This window comes from Homo sapiens, chromosome 5 (assembly GCF_000001405.40).
Source record: "Homo sapiens chromosome 5, GRCh38.p14 Primary Assembly".
Lineage (NCBI taxonomy): Eukaryota > Metazoa > Chordata > Mammalia > Primates > Hominidae > Homo > Homo sapiens.
This window is the reverse complement of record NC_000005.10, coordinates 40674568-40690276: the sequence shown is the minus strand read 5'-3', so window position 1 is coordinate 40690276 and position 15709 is coordinate 40674568. Positions and strand designations below refer to the sequence as shown.

The following is a 15709-nucleotide window of genomic DNA, read 5'->3' as shown; positions in this document are numbered from 1 at the left end:
CCTTGACCCCCTAGGCTCCAGCAATCCTCCTGCTGTAGCCTCCTGAGTAGCTGGGACTACAGGTGTGTGCCATCATGCCTGGCTAACTGTTATTATTTTTGTAGAGATGAGGTCTTTCTATGTTGCCCAGGCTGGTCTCTAACTCTTGAGCTCAAGTGATCTGCCCGCTGCAGTCTCCCAAAGTGCTAAAATTACAGGAGTGAGCCACCATGTTCAGCCTCAAATTTACTCTTAAAGTATTATGATTTTTTTTTGCCTAGATATTACTTCTAATTCCACTGGGATCATTTATATAAAAATCTCATCTGTAATTAATATAGAAATAGTAGTAGTGGTAATTCACATAGAAATAGAAATAGAAATAGTAGTATAGAAATAAAAATAATTGCCATATATCTTAAGTAATTATTTAGTAATTATTTCTTGCCTTTAGTAATTATTTTAGGTTAGGGAGAAGAGGTTGAGTCTCACAGTCAAGGAAGATACATAAAAACCACAAAAAGGAGAAAGAACTAACAAAAGCATAGCTGGAGCCATTTAACTAGGGGCAAATATCTCTAACAAGACTTGAGGATGTTGCTGCCTTACTATATACAGCGTAACAATGAATGACTCATGGTGTATGAATCACCTGGAACAGGGACAGTTTAGTTGAGGCTGAGTCAGTTCACAACGGAAAAGGCGATTCATTGACCATTTGCATGTGTTCCTTTGGCACTTACTAGATGTAACAATATTTGGGTCAGGATATTATAGAAAGATTTTCAACAATTTGGGTAAAATTTGGGTAAAAGAAGGAAGAATTATTTTTTTCTTCCTTTAAAGATTCTTTGAATCTTTAAAATATTCGAAGAAATACATTTCATTAATCTGCAAAATCAAGCTTATATTAAACTTACTCCTGGATGATACTGGATCAGTAAGGTAGAACTGCATTTCTTTTTCTTCCTTAACTGGAATTTAGATCTTAATTAGCTATAGGTCTCTGATCCTCTCTCAAAAGATTTTTGTTCATTTCCTTTGTTATTGTTTTGTTGTTATTCACTTGTTTTGTTTTGAGAACTTACACTCATTGCAAAATCTGACCTAAACTTATTTTGGCAGCAAAACTGAACTGAACAGACTGTGAAGCCATTTAGTTCAATTTATTCCACTTAGAGTGAATATTCCTATGTTCTGGTCCAGGATTACTGTTCCAGTTCTGATGGGGATATTACATATTTTGCAATATATTATTGATTACTTTTCTAAAAGCCAAGAAATTCTGAATTCTGAAACTCATCTGCCCGTAAATATTTTGGATATGGGATTATGGGCCTGTAAATCTCAGAGAATAAAATAGTGACATGCCTCTAACCAAGATGAAATTAATATCTTCCTATATGGAAGACAGCTAAATCAAGAATGAACTAGAATGAACAGCAGTGTGTAATATCGCCTCTTGAAATACTTTTAGAAACTACGCTGGGATAAATGATAGTATCAAGGCAAAGCATACTTGATTTAAAAAAAAATCTTTACAGAAAGTAAAATAAAGCATCTTGGTTTCTTCCTTCCATAAGCTTTGAGGTCTTCAGCTATGCCTGGAAACTCAGCAGTTCCCTCAACTCTACAGGCCTTTTCTCAGATGAGGTATTTGTTACTGAGACCCAGAGGTTTTGAGGAACTTAGGATGTCCCCCACCCTGTTGGTGGCAGAGTCTGGTCTGGACCTCCATGTTGCCTTTTCTGTTCTACCAGTCTGGCTTTCTGTTTAATTATTATTTCCTGACAATGGAATTGTTGGTAAAAAGCATGAGGTCTATATTTTATTCACATCACATACTACGTTCCTAAGGGTAGAAGAAATGATGGCGTTAAATCTGTTAGTATCAAGTCCTGTGTGTGGTCTCTGGAAAAGACCTACGGCCGGGTTTATGCGAACTTGAGCCTTCAAGCCTCCAGGTGGCAGTGTTGCTCCACTTGAGAGTTTCTGATACTACCTCCCTAACAAGCACTGTGTAAAGCCATCTCCGAGACTCGCAGAACAGAATTTTGGTTAAGTCTGAACCTGACGTTTCTGAGATTTTTGACACTGAAAATGTTTTATTGCTGGTTGCTTCTCCTACCACAACCTCAAAGGAAACATGGCTACTACTGAAAGGAAGAAAATTTTTGAATAGTTAAAATGGAATTTATAGCCATTCAAAGAAGTACATTAGGAGTTAGCATTTTAAAATTTCTGTGGCCTTTTAGAAAGGTTGGAATGTTGTAAAACAATTAATAATAGGTTTTCATAATCAAAGGTGATGAGAGGCAAGGAAAGAATCATTTCTGTGCCTCATCTCATCCACAGCAGCAATGGATTTCGACTAGTATAGGAGGGAATGAAAGGAGGCTATATTAAAAGTATGCTCTATTTTAAAGTTTTCCATGGGGGAGGAAAAGTTTACAATTAGTACAAGCCACTGAACCTGGTCATTCAATGTCTTTTCAATAAAGGGGAGTTCACAGGGTAGTAAAAGTATGAGTTTAAAAAGCAAAAGTCCAAATTCAGGTAAAAACATCCTCAAAAGTTGGTTAGATTGAAAAGAATCAATATGAGTTTTACTTTGCAGCGTATTTCAATTGAGACTTACTTCAAGTAGGGAAAGAAAAAAGACAAAACAAACAAAAACTCCACGCATCTTGCAATGTTTGAAAACATAGAGCAACCTCTGCTTCACTTTAAGTAGGCTACTTGATTTGCTGTTTCCAAGAGGGCAGGGACAACCCCAGTTGAGATGGGGACATCCGGAGTAGTGCTTCAATGTCTCGTGAGGGGGTGAAAGCACTTTTCGGAATTCTTGTCCAACAGGCCCTATATTTTACATAATTAAACAAGTTCAGGCAGTTTTCAGTGTTGGAAGAGTGTGTTGCTGATAAAACTGAACCTCCGAGTCAGGAGGGAATATGGCCGGGCATGGTGGCTCATGCCTGTAATCCCAGCACTTTGGGAGGCTGAGGCAGGCGGATCACCTGAGGTCAGGAGTTTGAGACCAGCCTGACTAACATGGAGAAACCCAGTCTCTACCAAAAATACAAAATTAGCCGGGCGTGGTGGTGCATGCCTATAATCCCAGCTACTTGGAAGGCTGAGGCAGGAGAATCACTTGAACCCGGGAGGTGGAGGTTGCGGTGAGCTGAGATTGCGCCATTGCACTCCAGCCTGGGCCACAAAGTGAAACTCCGTCTCAAAACAAAAACAAAAACAAAAACAAAAACAAAAAAACTCACTGAATACAAACAACGTATCTCCTTTCTTCCAATTTTAAGTCTTTTTCTAGTAGCTCCTGCTGTGTACATGTGGTTTGTTGTTAATATTGGCATATTACAGTATTCTAAATTATTTTATTTTCTTTTAGAAAGGGTCTCACTCTGTCACCCAGGCTGGAGTGCTGTGATACAAACATGGCTCATTGCAGCCTCAACCTCCTGGGCTCAAGCAATCCTCCAGCCTCAACCTTCCAAGTTGCTGGGACCACAGGCACATGTTACCACACCCACCTAATTTTTTTTAAATTATGTTATTCACACTTTTTTTTAGGATGATTAGAGATTAGGGCTCAGGAGCAGTGGAACATAACTTTGAGGAAATGCAATAAGTTCAGAAGAAGATGTGGTGACAAGAAAGCTGTAAGGAGGCTATATGCTGTAGAGATAAATGCCCAAGCTTTGGAAGCAAACAAGCCTCTGTTCAAATCCTGGCTCTGCCCTTATAACGTATGTACAAATTATTAAAGTGCTTAGTACAGTGCCTATCGTATAACAGATATGTTGGCTCTCATTACTTTTTCTTTCAACCCATATGTGGAAGCTTGCCCAGTGTGGAAGGTATCAATAATTTGAAAACTGTAGCTTAGAGGTAGCTTTGGGATATAGTTAATAATATGGTATCAAAAACATGTACTTCCTACTTAATAATTTGTTTGCAGGGAATGTTGAAGAAAGAATGTTGAACTCTTGATTAGATTTAGTAATGGACTGTCAAAACAGTAACGCTTTCCAATAAGTGACAAGATCTGTAGCTGGATTTGAATGTGTGTGCTACTTGTTCTGTTCCAAGCACATAAAAGGAATTATCTGTATGGGCTCAGTTATCCCACTGCCTTGTTAAGAGTCCAAAATTGACACAGCTGTTACTAGAAGTTCTTATCACTTTCTTTTTTTCAAGTAAAGAATAGTGGAAATAATTATTGACTGGGTGGTGTGTAGGAGAGCTTGGTTCTTCTTCTGGCCATTTGTAGAAGGCAAGTTAAATCTCTACAGGCTTTATAGGTCAACCTCTACACTGAAAGTTTCTGTTTTTTTTTATTTGTTTGTTTTTAAAGCTCTCACATTGAATATTCTGATAGGAGACTACAAGAATCACGTCAGGGCTGAGAAAAAAAATCTTGTTAGGAGATATTCAATACAAACAAATTGACAGGTCAAGAAAGCATGGTGAAATGAGCATTAGACGAGGACTCACCTATAGCTACCCTGTAAGTTGCAGAATGATATAAATTCTTCATTTGCAGCTTGGGAAACTGAGGTGTAGAGAGAGTGAAAATACTGGTCAGCCCTACTTTCTCCTTAGAGCTTTTCAAGATTCAAATGAAATGCCAGATGTGGAAATAACTTACTTTTATGTTACTCAATAGTCTTCAGGTTACTACTACTGGGTCTGCAATTGCATGTTATGATTTAAAACTTCCTTCTAGGCATTGCAATTTTTTAAACTTAGCCAAATTTATTTGAACAAATCCAGTCTTTTAGATTCTGTCATAGTCATACCCAAATTTGTGGCATTTCTCTTGTATGTATAGATGTGCTTCACACTCATCTGACATCCCATCAGTTGTTTTATGACTCCACTTCCAGTTTGCCTACAGTAAACAAAAGCATATCTATTTACAAAGTTTTTATCTGTCCTTATAAACTTTTGCTGATCAAATGCTGGTGAAAGCTTTATAGAGACAACTAGTTTATAGTAAGGAACCAAATAAACAGTCACAGGAAGTATTTTCCTAAGGACCTAAGTTTTACCTCACCAAGGCAGAAGATTAATCAAATTAGCTGTTCTGCCCCTAGCTGAGATGAGTATTTGTTACTTCAGAGTTAAAAAATAAAAGAAACAAGTAAGCAATAAATACAGTCTTGGGTTGCTTGTGTATGGGGGAAAATGACCTTCGAAACCCTATAGTAACTGTTTAGCCCTAAGGCAAAATATTTGATTATAATAATCATCTTAATATTCATTAGTAACTGCAAAATTAGGCACTAGTAATTCATCAAGCTACAGCATTTAAAACCAGGACCTTAGGAGGCTGTCTTGCTTGCATATTTCTAAAGAATTCAATCCTTTTCGTTTATCTTAAATGTAGACTCTCACTTCTTGTTCTCACAAAATTTTAGAAGTTCTCACTTCCAAAATTCTCCTATATTTAAAAAAACTATGAGACTGGTTATAAATAGAAGAATGGACAAAATGACAAGAACCACCTACCCACTAAATCTTGTCATGTGATGTTCCTTGTAGATCATACTTACACCTTCTCTGATCATTAATTATGACCCAGTTCAAAGAATGCTGCAGGTTCAGCACAGTTCCTTATATCCACAACTAATTTCCCAACCTTTCTCAAATTTCCACTCCAATCTTAACTCTATTTATGAAATATGTATATTTTGGATAGCAAATTAAAATTTATTTTTTATACTAAACTCAATACCAACCCCCCTCTAAGAGCTGTAGCTCTTTCTTCCCTGGTGTCCAGGAGGCAAAACCTTGGCTGCTTTTCAGTGGCTGCTTGTTTTCCTTAGGTATTATATCAAGCTTTCTGAAATTCCAAGTAAACTACATTTGCTTTGTTAGCCTTTCCAAAGCATTTAAAATGATTCCAACGCTTTGATTTTCCTTAAATGGGATTAGCAACCACTTGATTTGATAAAATTAGATGCTTCATTAGTTTCTTTGGAACTGAAGATAAGCTCAACTGCTTTCAATGTCAGAGAGTTCTGAGCTTTAATCTTAATTTACAACATGAATATGAAAACATGAAAAAAGAAAGTTGTAAAAGGAAGCCAAGGAAGACTGTATTTGCGGAAGGGTTTTTGATTATTTCAGTAATTGCTGAATTGTGGGGGGGGGGGTGGGTGGGTGGCATAATGAACCCATCATTTATCACTAATTTATAATTAAACTGATTCTGAAATTAGACTTTAGTAGCCAAAACTAAAGGCGACAAACTGATGCCACTGCTATTTTAGGATTCCTTATTTCTCACAAAGCTATATAAATACTTGACTAATGGGATTACTTCTTAATTGAGCTAGTTTCAATTTTCAGGTCAAGATTACTTAAAATTTACTACACGTTACTAACATTATACAGGTGGACAGTATTTCTTGTTAGTTAAAATGTGGTTAATCTGCAAACCACAAATACAGCTCCTATAATTTCTTGCCTCTAGGTCCTCAAATAATTTCAAGGCTTTGTGTAAGGGCCCTGAATCTTAGGTCCAGGTCTACCACTTCAGCCTATGAGGTGAATTAAGCCTTGTATGTCTCTCTAGATGTTGGAAGAAAATAATTCATCCGTGGCTGTGCAGAAATCCATAGCTTTACATGCTTACTTCCAACCAAAACACATTTATAAAGTATGTGCATGTTGCTAACCTTCTAGCTCTAATTCCTCTGTCCCTTTAAGTGGATGTTCTGAAAATAACAACCATTCACTTTGTCATTTACTGTTCTGTAAAACACAAGGCAGAGGCCCAGGAACAGGGGCCCCATCAGGAGCAGTGTTGTTTCTTCCAAAATCTCACTTTATTCTAGGTTGCCATTACAGACAGTAAAATATATTTATGTGGCTCAAGTGTGACTTAACTCTGTAAATTATATTGGGTCCTGGAATGGCTTAAAGGCTCTTATGGCCTATTATATTTACTTCTGTTTATACAAATTGGTAAGAACCTACTGTATTCTGGCTCTGAGCCCCCTCTAAGTTCCTTCCATTTACAGTCACTTTTATCAAAGATATATTTTTACACCAAAGATCCCTGGACAGTATCAATAAGGAAAAGGAAGGAATAATAGCCCATTACATTTTATATTCTCTTGTTCCCAACAAGCATAAGAAAAAGCAGTTATCTCTTTTTGAGTTGGTAGTTTAGAATTTCCAGGAATGCAGTGTTTTGGAAGATGGAAGAACTCATAACTAGTTGCTTTCAAGAGAAACTCTAGATAAAGTATTGCATTATTCTGCCCATCTGCTTCTGGTGCATTCCATTTTAGCCACAGGCAAAGTAGAAAACTAGGTAGGGTTTGAGCCTTTCTGTTTATCATATTTTAAAAGTTAATCCAAAGGCAATTCTTAAAAGATGAACTAAAAATGAAGTGTACCAAAACTCCAACCCACGCTTTACAAACGCCAAAATGAGAAATGTTCTACGAGGGAGACGTGATGTAATAACACATGAGCTGGGTCTGGCCTCAGACGGCCTAAGGTCCATTACAAGCTGTAGAGCTTTGGCTTGAAGAAACAAAGACAGCCATCTCTAAACCTCGGTTTCTCTAAAATGGTACTGTACCTCGCACAGTTGTCGAGAATTCAAATCCCATACCCTATGTATATCAGCCTGTCCATAATTAGTCACCCTGAGAAACTTTGCTTTCCTGGTCTAGACAGAATGAAAGAAACTGAGTCTGGACCCTGCCCTGTATATGAATTAGAATTTGTGTGCTTTAAGCTGCCCTCCCAGGGCACACCATGGTAAAGAGCAGGGAGCCTAGCTTGACTGTGTAGGTTCGGCTGGATTATTTTAAGCGTATCATTCACTCCCTCAGTGAAGTGAGGGAGTTAGACTAAAACACCTCTTGATATCTCTTCTAGCTTTAAAATTCTACGCAATCCACGGGGGAAGAAATTCAAGAAACCTTGCATACATCAAAACACCAAAAACCCCACTTTCCTTAAAAATGGTTTACAACGAACAGATCACCATCCCTGACATTTCAGGTTTTGCAGTTCACAGTTCACAGTACGGAGGAATGGGCTAAGTCACACTACAGCAGGCTCCCCTCCACGTCTAACAGAGGGGGCGGGGGGTTTTCTTGGAAGACTCGGCCAGTGTCAGGCAGCAAGGGGTAAGGGCTGTCTCGGTGGAGAAAGAAACCCAGGCTTCCGGGAACATAAACTGGGGGATGTAGGGGCAAAGCACCTGCTAAATCTCGTTAGGGTTGGGACTTCAAAGAGGGTTGGGCCTGCTCTGAGAAACAGTGTGGGAATCCCAGCCCCGACCTAAAGGCGACACGTTCACTGCCAAGGACTCAGAGGGAAAGCAGGGAGCGGGGAATGGACGCGGGAGGTGGATGCGAGAAAAAGGCCGAGTAGGGCCCCAGCCCCGGTCACTCACCACGAGCGGGATGGAGCAGATGAGCACCACCAGGGAGGTGGCAATGAGTAAGATGACCATCTGGATCTCGGCGCCCGCGATGCGGCGGAAGCTCCGGCGGCGCCGAAAGTCGCTGAGGCGCGGCAAGGCTGGGGAGGCAGCGGGGTGGCCCCGGGAGGCAACCGAGGCGGCCGCGGCCGCGTGGTGCTGCTCGGTGCCCAGCGAGGTGCGGCGCATGAACTGGCGGTGCATGCGGAGCAGCGCGCCGCACACAAGCACGTTGCAGAGGACGGTGGCGAGAATGAGGAAGGAGCTGAAGCCCGCGTACATGTAGGAGTAGGCGGCGTGCGCCGTCACGTTGGTGGTCCAGTCGATGAAGCACCAGGTGTCTGGGTACTGCAGCCGCGAGCTACCGAGACCCATGTTGGGCAGCGCGCAAAAGAGCACGTTGGACGCATAGACTGCAAAGAGCGTGAGGCCCGCCAATCGCTTGTCCACGTAGTGGCTGTAGAAATAGGCATGGTTGATGGCCAGGTAGCGCTCGACACTCATGGCGCAGATGATGCTGAGGCCGGACAGGCTGAAGAAGAGCAGAATGAAGGTGCTGTACTCGCACAGCGGCTGGCCCCCGGGCCATTGGCCCTTCATGTACGTGGCGATGGTCACCGGGCTCACCAACAAAGTGCCCAACAGGTCGGTGACAGCCAGCCCACATACCAGCGTGTAGAAGGTCGTCTCCTTCTGCTCCTTGCGCGACTTGCACAGCACCACGATGGCCACCAGGTTGCCCACCACCCCGAAGATGAACATCACCGCCGGGATGGTCACTGGGCTGTTCAGCCGGTCGGGGCTCAAGGAGGCGGACGAATTGACCCCGGGAGTGGACATGATAGTGGCTGGCGGTGCGCAGCCTTGGAGTGCAAGGCTGGGTCTGGGGATGGTAGAAGAGAGACAAAGCTGCCGTGAGCGGAAATTACCACTTGTAAGGTGTTAGACCCGCGCCCGAGAAACGATACACTGATAAGACAAGGGGAGCAACTCGATCCTACTTTCTGGATTGTAGCCACTTACCAACTGCGGCCACCAAAATCTCCAGGCTCGCGATACGTCCTGCCAACAGCACACTCTTGCTGACATTAATATTTATAAACTGATTTTCCCATTCCTCTTCCTCCCCACAATCCAACTCACTCCATTGCCAAGATGAATAAGACCCATCTCAAGGGAAAAGTAGCTCGCTAGTGCTATTCTCGATAGATTCTGAATCAATAAAATGCTCACTGAAAACAAGTTACAAAAGCAATTTGGAGAGCGCGCTCTTCCCTTCTTGGCTCTCTTCGGCGAGGGCCGCATCCCTGCGTTCTCTACCCGTTGACCCCAACGTCAGCCCAACGCCATCTCACCTGTAGCGGCAGCAGCGGTGGCAGCCTCACGAGCCCCCAGGGTCAGCCCTCAGATGTCCTGGACCCGCCTCCAACCTGCTTTCACCTTGTCCTGCTCAGTCTGGAAACTGCCAAATCTTCGGCTTCTCAAAGCCGGTCTCAGTGGCTGTCGATTTTTGGACACCGAGGTCAGAGTTGCCAGCTTTCAAAAACTTGGGAAACAAGAGGTGCAGCGGGATGGGTCAGTGAAGAATGGTGCTGGATTTCTTACTCGCTATTTTTTTTCCTTCAAAGACGAGTCCCAGCTTTGCAGTGCCCGCCGGTCTCGTCTGCGGGAGGACAGCGTTCAGGTGTGAGGCTGTGCGCGCAGGTGGCGCGGAGCCTTGGTCCCCAGCTCTGGCTGCCCTCCGCCCCAGCCACGGGCAGCACGGGCGGCTACTGGAGTTTGCGGCTGCCGCTGAGGCCGCTCCTGGCTACCTGGGGGCGGCTCGGGGTCCACTCTGCCAGAGGCTCTGGCCTGGGGCTGTTCATCTTCCTCTCGGGCTGCCGGGCTTGGAGCTCCGCTCTCGCCTTTCCACCCTCTGTACAAACTTTTCTCCTCCTCCAAGTTTCCCTGGCGGAGGCGGAGGCAAACCGCGCGCTGCCCGGGCGCCCATTGGCCGGATTGGAAGGGGGCGGAGCGCGTCCTCCCTGGGCGCCGCAGGGAAGACTGGCGGGGGGCGGTGTCTGGGCTGGGGCGGGGCTGGGCGCGCGGGGTGGGGCGGCTCCCGTGGTTTTCACGCCCTCGGAGGTGCGGAGTGGGAACTCGGAGGGGACCCTGGGAAGCCCCGGTGCTTTCCCCGGCGACCGCTTAGCCGCTCCTGAACTCGGCTTCCAGTGGGGCCACCACTGAAACCGGCGACCGTTTCCGCCTCGCTGCCTGCCGCTCGGAGTGTACTATTTCTTGAACCTCCTGTCCGCGGGCCGCAACATCTAGATCGTGGAAGAGAGGGCAGTTGTTTTAGGATTCTACCTAGGGTTGGCCGAGAAAGGAGAAGAAATACGGTGTCTGCGCTAGCGCGTGCGCCCCGGGGTTAGACTTGGGTGCGCCCAGCGGACGTGGTAGGTGGGTGGGTGGGTGGGTACCAGATTGGGCGGGGAAATAACGAAGAATCCATCCTCTCACCATAAAAGGAGTTGGAGTCAGTTGGCAGTGCCCAGACTGCGGGCTGCGCTTGGTCGGGCACCCCAGGCAAAAAAGAAAAAAAAAAAAGAGAAAGAAAGAGGAGGAGACAGTGATTGCAGCCTCTCCCGGCGCAGGTGGCAGAGCCTTGCGGCTTTGGAGAGAGGTGGAGCCTTGGTGAGGTTGGGAGGACTGCCTAACTGCGATCTTTTTCTCCATTCTTCCTCCTGGGAACTTCTCCGCCCTGAAAGGGTAGCGTGAGCTTCATGCCTTCGGCCGGCCGTGTTATACTCGTTAGACCCAATTCACCATGAATCCTTTGAAAGACTAGTGGAGAGTGAGAAGGGGGTTTCAAAGTCACTGGAGTAAAGGAATTCTCCAAGCACCACCTCATGATTAATTCTTGGAAAAGCCTGTTTGCGCGGCCCTTAGAATCATTTTGACTTCTTGTCTAATGGTGAAGTTTTTCTCTGTAATCCTTCTACTCTGTTTTCTAAAACCAGAACTAAAAACCTAAAAAATTGTAAAACTTCATGGTGTAATTAAAACCCCTTCACCATTTTTTTTAAGTAAGATTGTGTGGCCTTATTGCACAATTTAAATTCCTGGAAAAACCTCTTCCCATCTGCAGTGTACAAGCATTCTAACATATTATGTCTCCTCACAGGGTAAGTAAATAACTGGATTCTTTTATGTGATAAGCAGGTACCCATTTCTTAAATGTTATTTCGTGAACGAACAAACCTCCTAACTGGTTCTTCAGTTAGTCTCAGCAACACATGGGTAATAAGAGAAACTAAAAGGGCTTTCCGATTTCAAGTAATTACAGGTCATAAAATATCCAGAATCATATTTACTTGCAAAAGGCACTATATGGATATACTAATAAAGAATTATTCTGTTTATACTATTTACTTAATAATATGAGAAAGAAAAATACACATTTGTTAGCCAATATTAAGATTGATGGTGATTGGTCATTTTCTTAAAAATCTTCTTTTAATCAGTACTCTAATCACTTCTGTTGTCGATGCTTCCTTTGAACAGTAACCTCTAGGATTGTGTCAGCACAGAAAACAAATCAACATTAGAAAAAAGGAAACTGCACACTCTGCGCCATTCCTCACTAACCACATTGCTTTGCTATCACTCATGTCAGTTGCTTGTCAGTAAATATATGGAGGGGAGGTTGGGAAGTCCCTTATATTCACTTTCTGCTAATACAAATTTTTTTTTTCAATTTTCTTTCCATATGAAGCTTGTAAAAGAGAAAACAATTGGTTGCTATTTATTAATTTAAGAATGATGAAGAATATATTAAATATAAAAACTGAGACACACTGCTGAGATAATTAGTAACTGTTACAGGTATTAGCATGTCATTGACAAACCAGACTTGTTATCAATTGAGCTATTTTTCTTACTAGTCCTTTGAATTTTCTTTCTACAGTAGCTTTAGGAAGAAGGAAAATAAATAACCTAATGCTCAATACTAAAAAATTGTAATGAGGTTTATCTGTAGTCTCTTTTGTTGTACGATTCTTAAAACTTAAATTTAGCTTTCAAAAGTAGAAGTTGAAAGTTTAGGTAGCAAATTATTTTATTTTCTTAGTTTGAAAAACTGGGACAGTGGAGCTCAGTTTCTCTTACACTCTGCCAGGAATTTGCATTGCAAAAGGAAAGGAAAAATTGCCATAATTATGTGGGCAATTCTTGTCATTTTTTTTCAATGAAAAGATTTTTATTCTAAGCACTTTAAAAATTCTCCCTCGCAGTTTCTGCCACAATCCCTACTTCTCTATGCTGGAAGACCCCAGTTCAGTTATTTAAAACTGTCATTAAATAACTCTCTGAAGGTTTGAACTACTCCAAGAACTGTTTGATCAGTTTGATTGCTCTGTTATAGCTAATTATTTGACGAGTTTTTTGAGTAAACATATTAAGGTGGGAACCCATTTATAAACAAAGGCCGCTTGGGAGCTAGTAACCACTTTTAGTTTTCCTTGGATCAAAGGAAATATGGGACAGACAGGACCTGGGCTCAGCCAGCAGGAGTGGGGTGAGAAAGGGGATCATTTCCAGGAGGAAGGCAGCAGGATGAGTCAGATCTGGCCTGGACCCCTTCCTGAGCCGCAGCTGGCAGGATCTTAGAGCATTCCTGAAGCACTAATATTCATGTAGCAAAGCCTGTGCAAATTGTGTTTGCTTTTCTCTTTCATGACAGGCCATGCAGAGACTCAAAACAGTGTGAAAGGCATCTATCAGGTACAAATAGCAAAGTACCCTTGGACACATTTGCCCTCCACAGGCTCTTCCAGTTGGTTTAGTGGATTACAAACATGGCATTCACCTGACCCTAAGATGACTGCCTTCCCTTTTTAGTGGTACATTTCAAATGTGTGCCCTCTTAATTATTTTCATTTTCTAAGCATGAAGTTTATGCTGAGCCCAATGCCTGGAGCTGACACATGTCAGTGCTGTGATTAACTCCCCAACATCTTCATGTGGTGATAAATTACTGCTGTGGAGGCTGGCCCCTACTGAGTGATTGCTTCAGGCTGCTCTGACAGCCTGCTCTGACAATTACACTCCTCAAAGTAATAGCTTTCTGCTCTTTTATTCTGCTCGCTCCCTTTTTTTCCCTCCAGTTTCACCACACGCCCATGTGGATTGGACCAATGGGCAAAGAAAGGAGATTATTTACCTGCAGTGGCCTTTTTTTTTTTTTTTTTTGAGACAGATTCTCGCTCTGTCGCCCAGGCTGGAGTGCAGTGGTGCAACTTGGCTCACTGCAACCTCCGCCTCCTGGATTCAAGCAATTCTCCTGTCTCAGCCTCCCTAGTAGCTGAGATTACAGGCATGTGCCACCTTGCCTGGCTAATTTTGTATTTTTAGTAGAGATGGGGTTTCACCATATTGGCCAGGCTGGTCTCGAACTCCTGACCTTGTGATCCACCCCCTTCGGCTTCCCAAAGTGCTGGGATTACAGGCGTGAGTCACCGCTCCCAGAGTGGCCCATTTTTGAAGATACAAGTGGAGAAATAAAGCCTTACTAGTTAAAGAGTCTCCCCTACAGGAGGAAGGACCTTCTGATTATATTTCGGTTTCTTCTCATACCCAAATTGCTGTATGTTTTAGCAATGTGGAGGATGCACAGAAACTCCCTGGCTTAATCAATAGCAGCAGCATCACCTGTAGCTCATGTTAGTTTATCACTTTCCATAGCAGTTTCACACTTGGCGTTCACATGCGCTTTTATTAGCAACCCTCTGAGGAGGTTAGGTAGGTGTGACAGAGTCTGCTGTGTTGCACCAAATCTTGTTTCCATTTCCTCTGGAACACATAGCTGCGTATTATTTCCCAAACTGACTTCTTGTGGTTAGGTGCAGCTCATGTGACTGAATTCTGGCCAATGGAATAGAGGTAGAATTGATATATGCCACTTCCAGGCTGGGTCCCTATAAAACCCAGTCCTTTGTGCTATTGTTCGTCCTCTGCCAACATAATACAGGTCCCGGGTATATGGCAGAGCCACTAGATAGAAGGTGACTTGGCCTCTGAGTGCCTGTATGGACCTCATTCCAATCCCAGCAACCCTCACTGGACAATGAAGTGAATGAGAAATAATGCACTGAGATTTGAGGGGTCCCTTGTTTCAGCAGTTAGCCTATGCTGACTAATTTAGTATGGTTGATGTAATCTTCCTTCAGTGAGTGAGAATGTGGGCACAGAGATTCTATGTGGCTTGCTGAGAGTCACAAGAATTAGTAAGAATAGCTGAAATTTATCCAATGCTCAGCCTATGTGAGACATCATGCTAACTGCAACATGCATACGCTGTCAAATTCTCACAGCAAACCTATGAGGAAGGTACTAGGCAGTCAGATGCCCATTTCACAGATGAGCAAATCAAAGTTTGGTTAACGAATGCTGGGAGTGTTTTTTTTTTTCTTTTTTTTTGTGGCAGGGTCCCAATCTGTCCCCCAGACTGGAGTGCAGTGGGGCGATCTTGGCTCACTGCAACCTCCACCTCCTGGGGTCCAGTGAACCTCAGCTTCCCAAGTAAGCCGGGACTACAGGCAGGTGCCACTATGCCTGGCTAATTTTTGTATTTTTTTGTGGAGATGGAGTTACCCCATGTTGCTCAGGCTGGTCTCGAACTCCTGGGCTCAGGCGATCCACAAGCCTCCACCTCACAAAGCGATGGGATTACAGGGGTTAGCCACCACACCCAGCCCAGGTGTTGTCAGTTTTGAAAGGCTGCCCAGCAGCTGAACTCCTTTTCTATTAGTAAGAATCCTCCATTGCATAATATTATTTGGAGGCAAGACCTAGCCTGCCATGAGAGAAGCTAAATGGGCTGGATTTTCTCCTTCCATCCTCTGCCACGGCTTGAGCATATGACCTTTGCTTGACTTATCAGATACCACTGTTTAGAAATTTAATCTTGAAGGAGTGGCGCAAAGACGTAAGAGCAATTTCAGAAGTCATTCACAGCAGCAGTATGTCTGGGGTTTGTGGTGTCAAGGGTCCTGCAGTGATAATGGCTGTTGGTTGAGGCATGCTAACTACTACTTGGTTAGGATGGTGTGACCATGCCTGAATTTCCTGCTGGCAGCCTTCCTGTTGATTCTTTGTGTAATTGGTTGTCTTTCCAATAAATTACTTTCCTGCTTATATTAACCATGCTCAGTTTCTGTTGCTTGCAAATAATAAGCCTACCTAGGACAGAGAAATTGAGTAAACTCTCTAAGATCACAGTTCTGATAA

At 43.2% G+C, this 15709-nt stretch overlaps 1 protein-coding gene across 6 annotated transcripts in view, besides 2 other annotated features; it reads right to left on the bottom strand.

Annotated features, from left to right (window-relative positions):
• PTGER4 (prostaglandin E receptor 4) overlaps window positions 1-10362 on the bottom strand; it is a 66886-nt gene extending 56524 nt beyond the window's left edge. For 3 of the 6 annotated variants that reach the window (XM_017009659.3, XM_047417415.1, NM_000958.3), the window contains exons 1-2: window positions 9799-10362; window positions 8417-9326 (exon numbers count right to left, since the gene is read on the bottom strand). In XM_017009659.3, coding sequence (XP_016865148.1) covers window positions 8417-9283 — 867 coding nt within the window. In that variant the 5' untranslated portion in view covers window positions 9284-9326; window positions 9799-10362. Of the gene's footprint in view, window positions 1-4488; window positions 4547-4727; window positions 4907-8416; window positions 9327-9798 lie in introns of those variants that run through there. The other 3 variants (XM_047417413.1, XM_047417414.1, XM_047417416.1) reach the window with 3 other exon arrangements.
• Window positions 8817-9344: an enhancer, noted in NCBI's record as "H3K4me1 hESC enhancer chr5:40681035-40681562 (GRCh37/hg19 assembly coordinates)". NCBI's record gives its function as "activates a minimal SCP1, AML or CMV promoter by ChIP-STARR-seq in naive H9 embryonic stem cells {active_cell/tissue: H9 hESC(naive)}" and the evidence as "EXISTENCE:reporter gene assay evidence [ECO:0000049][PMID:30033119]".
• Window positions 10480-10699: a silencer, noted in NCBI's record as "silent region_15982". NCBI's record gives its function as "represses an Ori minimal core promoter by ATAC-STARR-seq in GM12878 lymphoblastoid cells {active_cell/tissue: GM12878}" and the evidence as "EXISTENCE:reporter gene assay evidence [ECO:0000049][PMID:35858748]".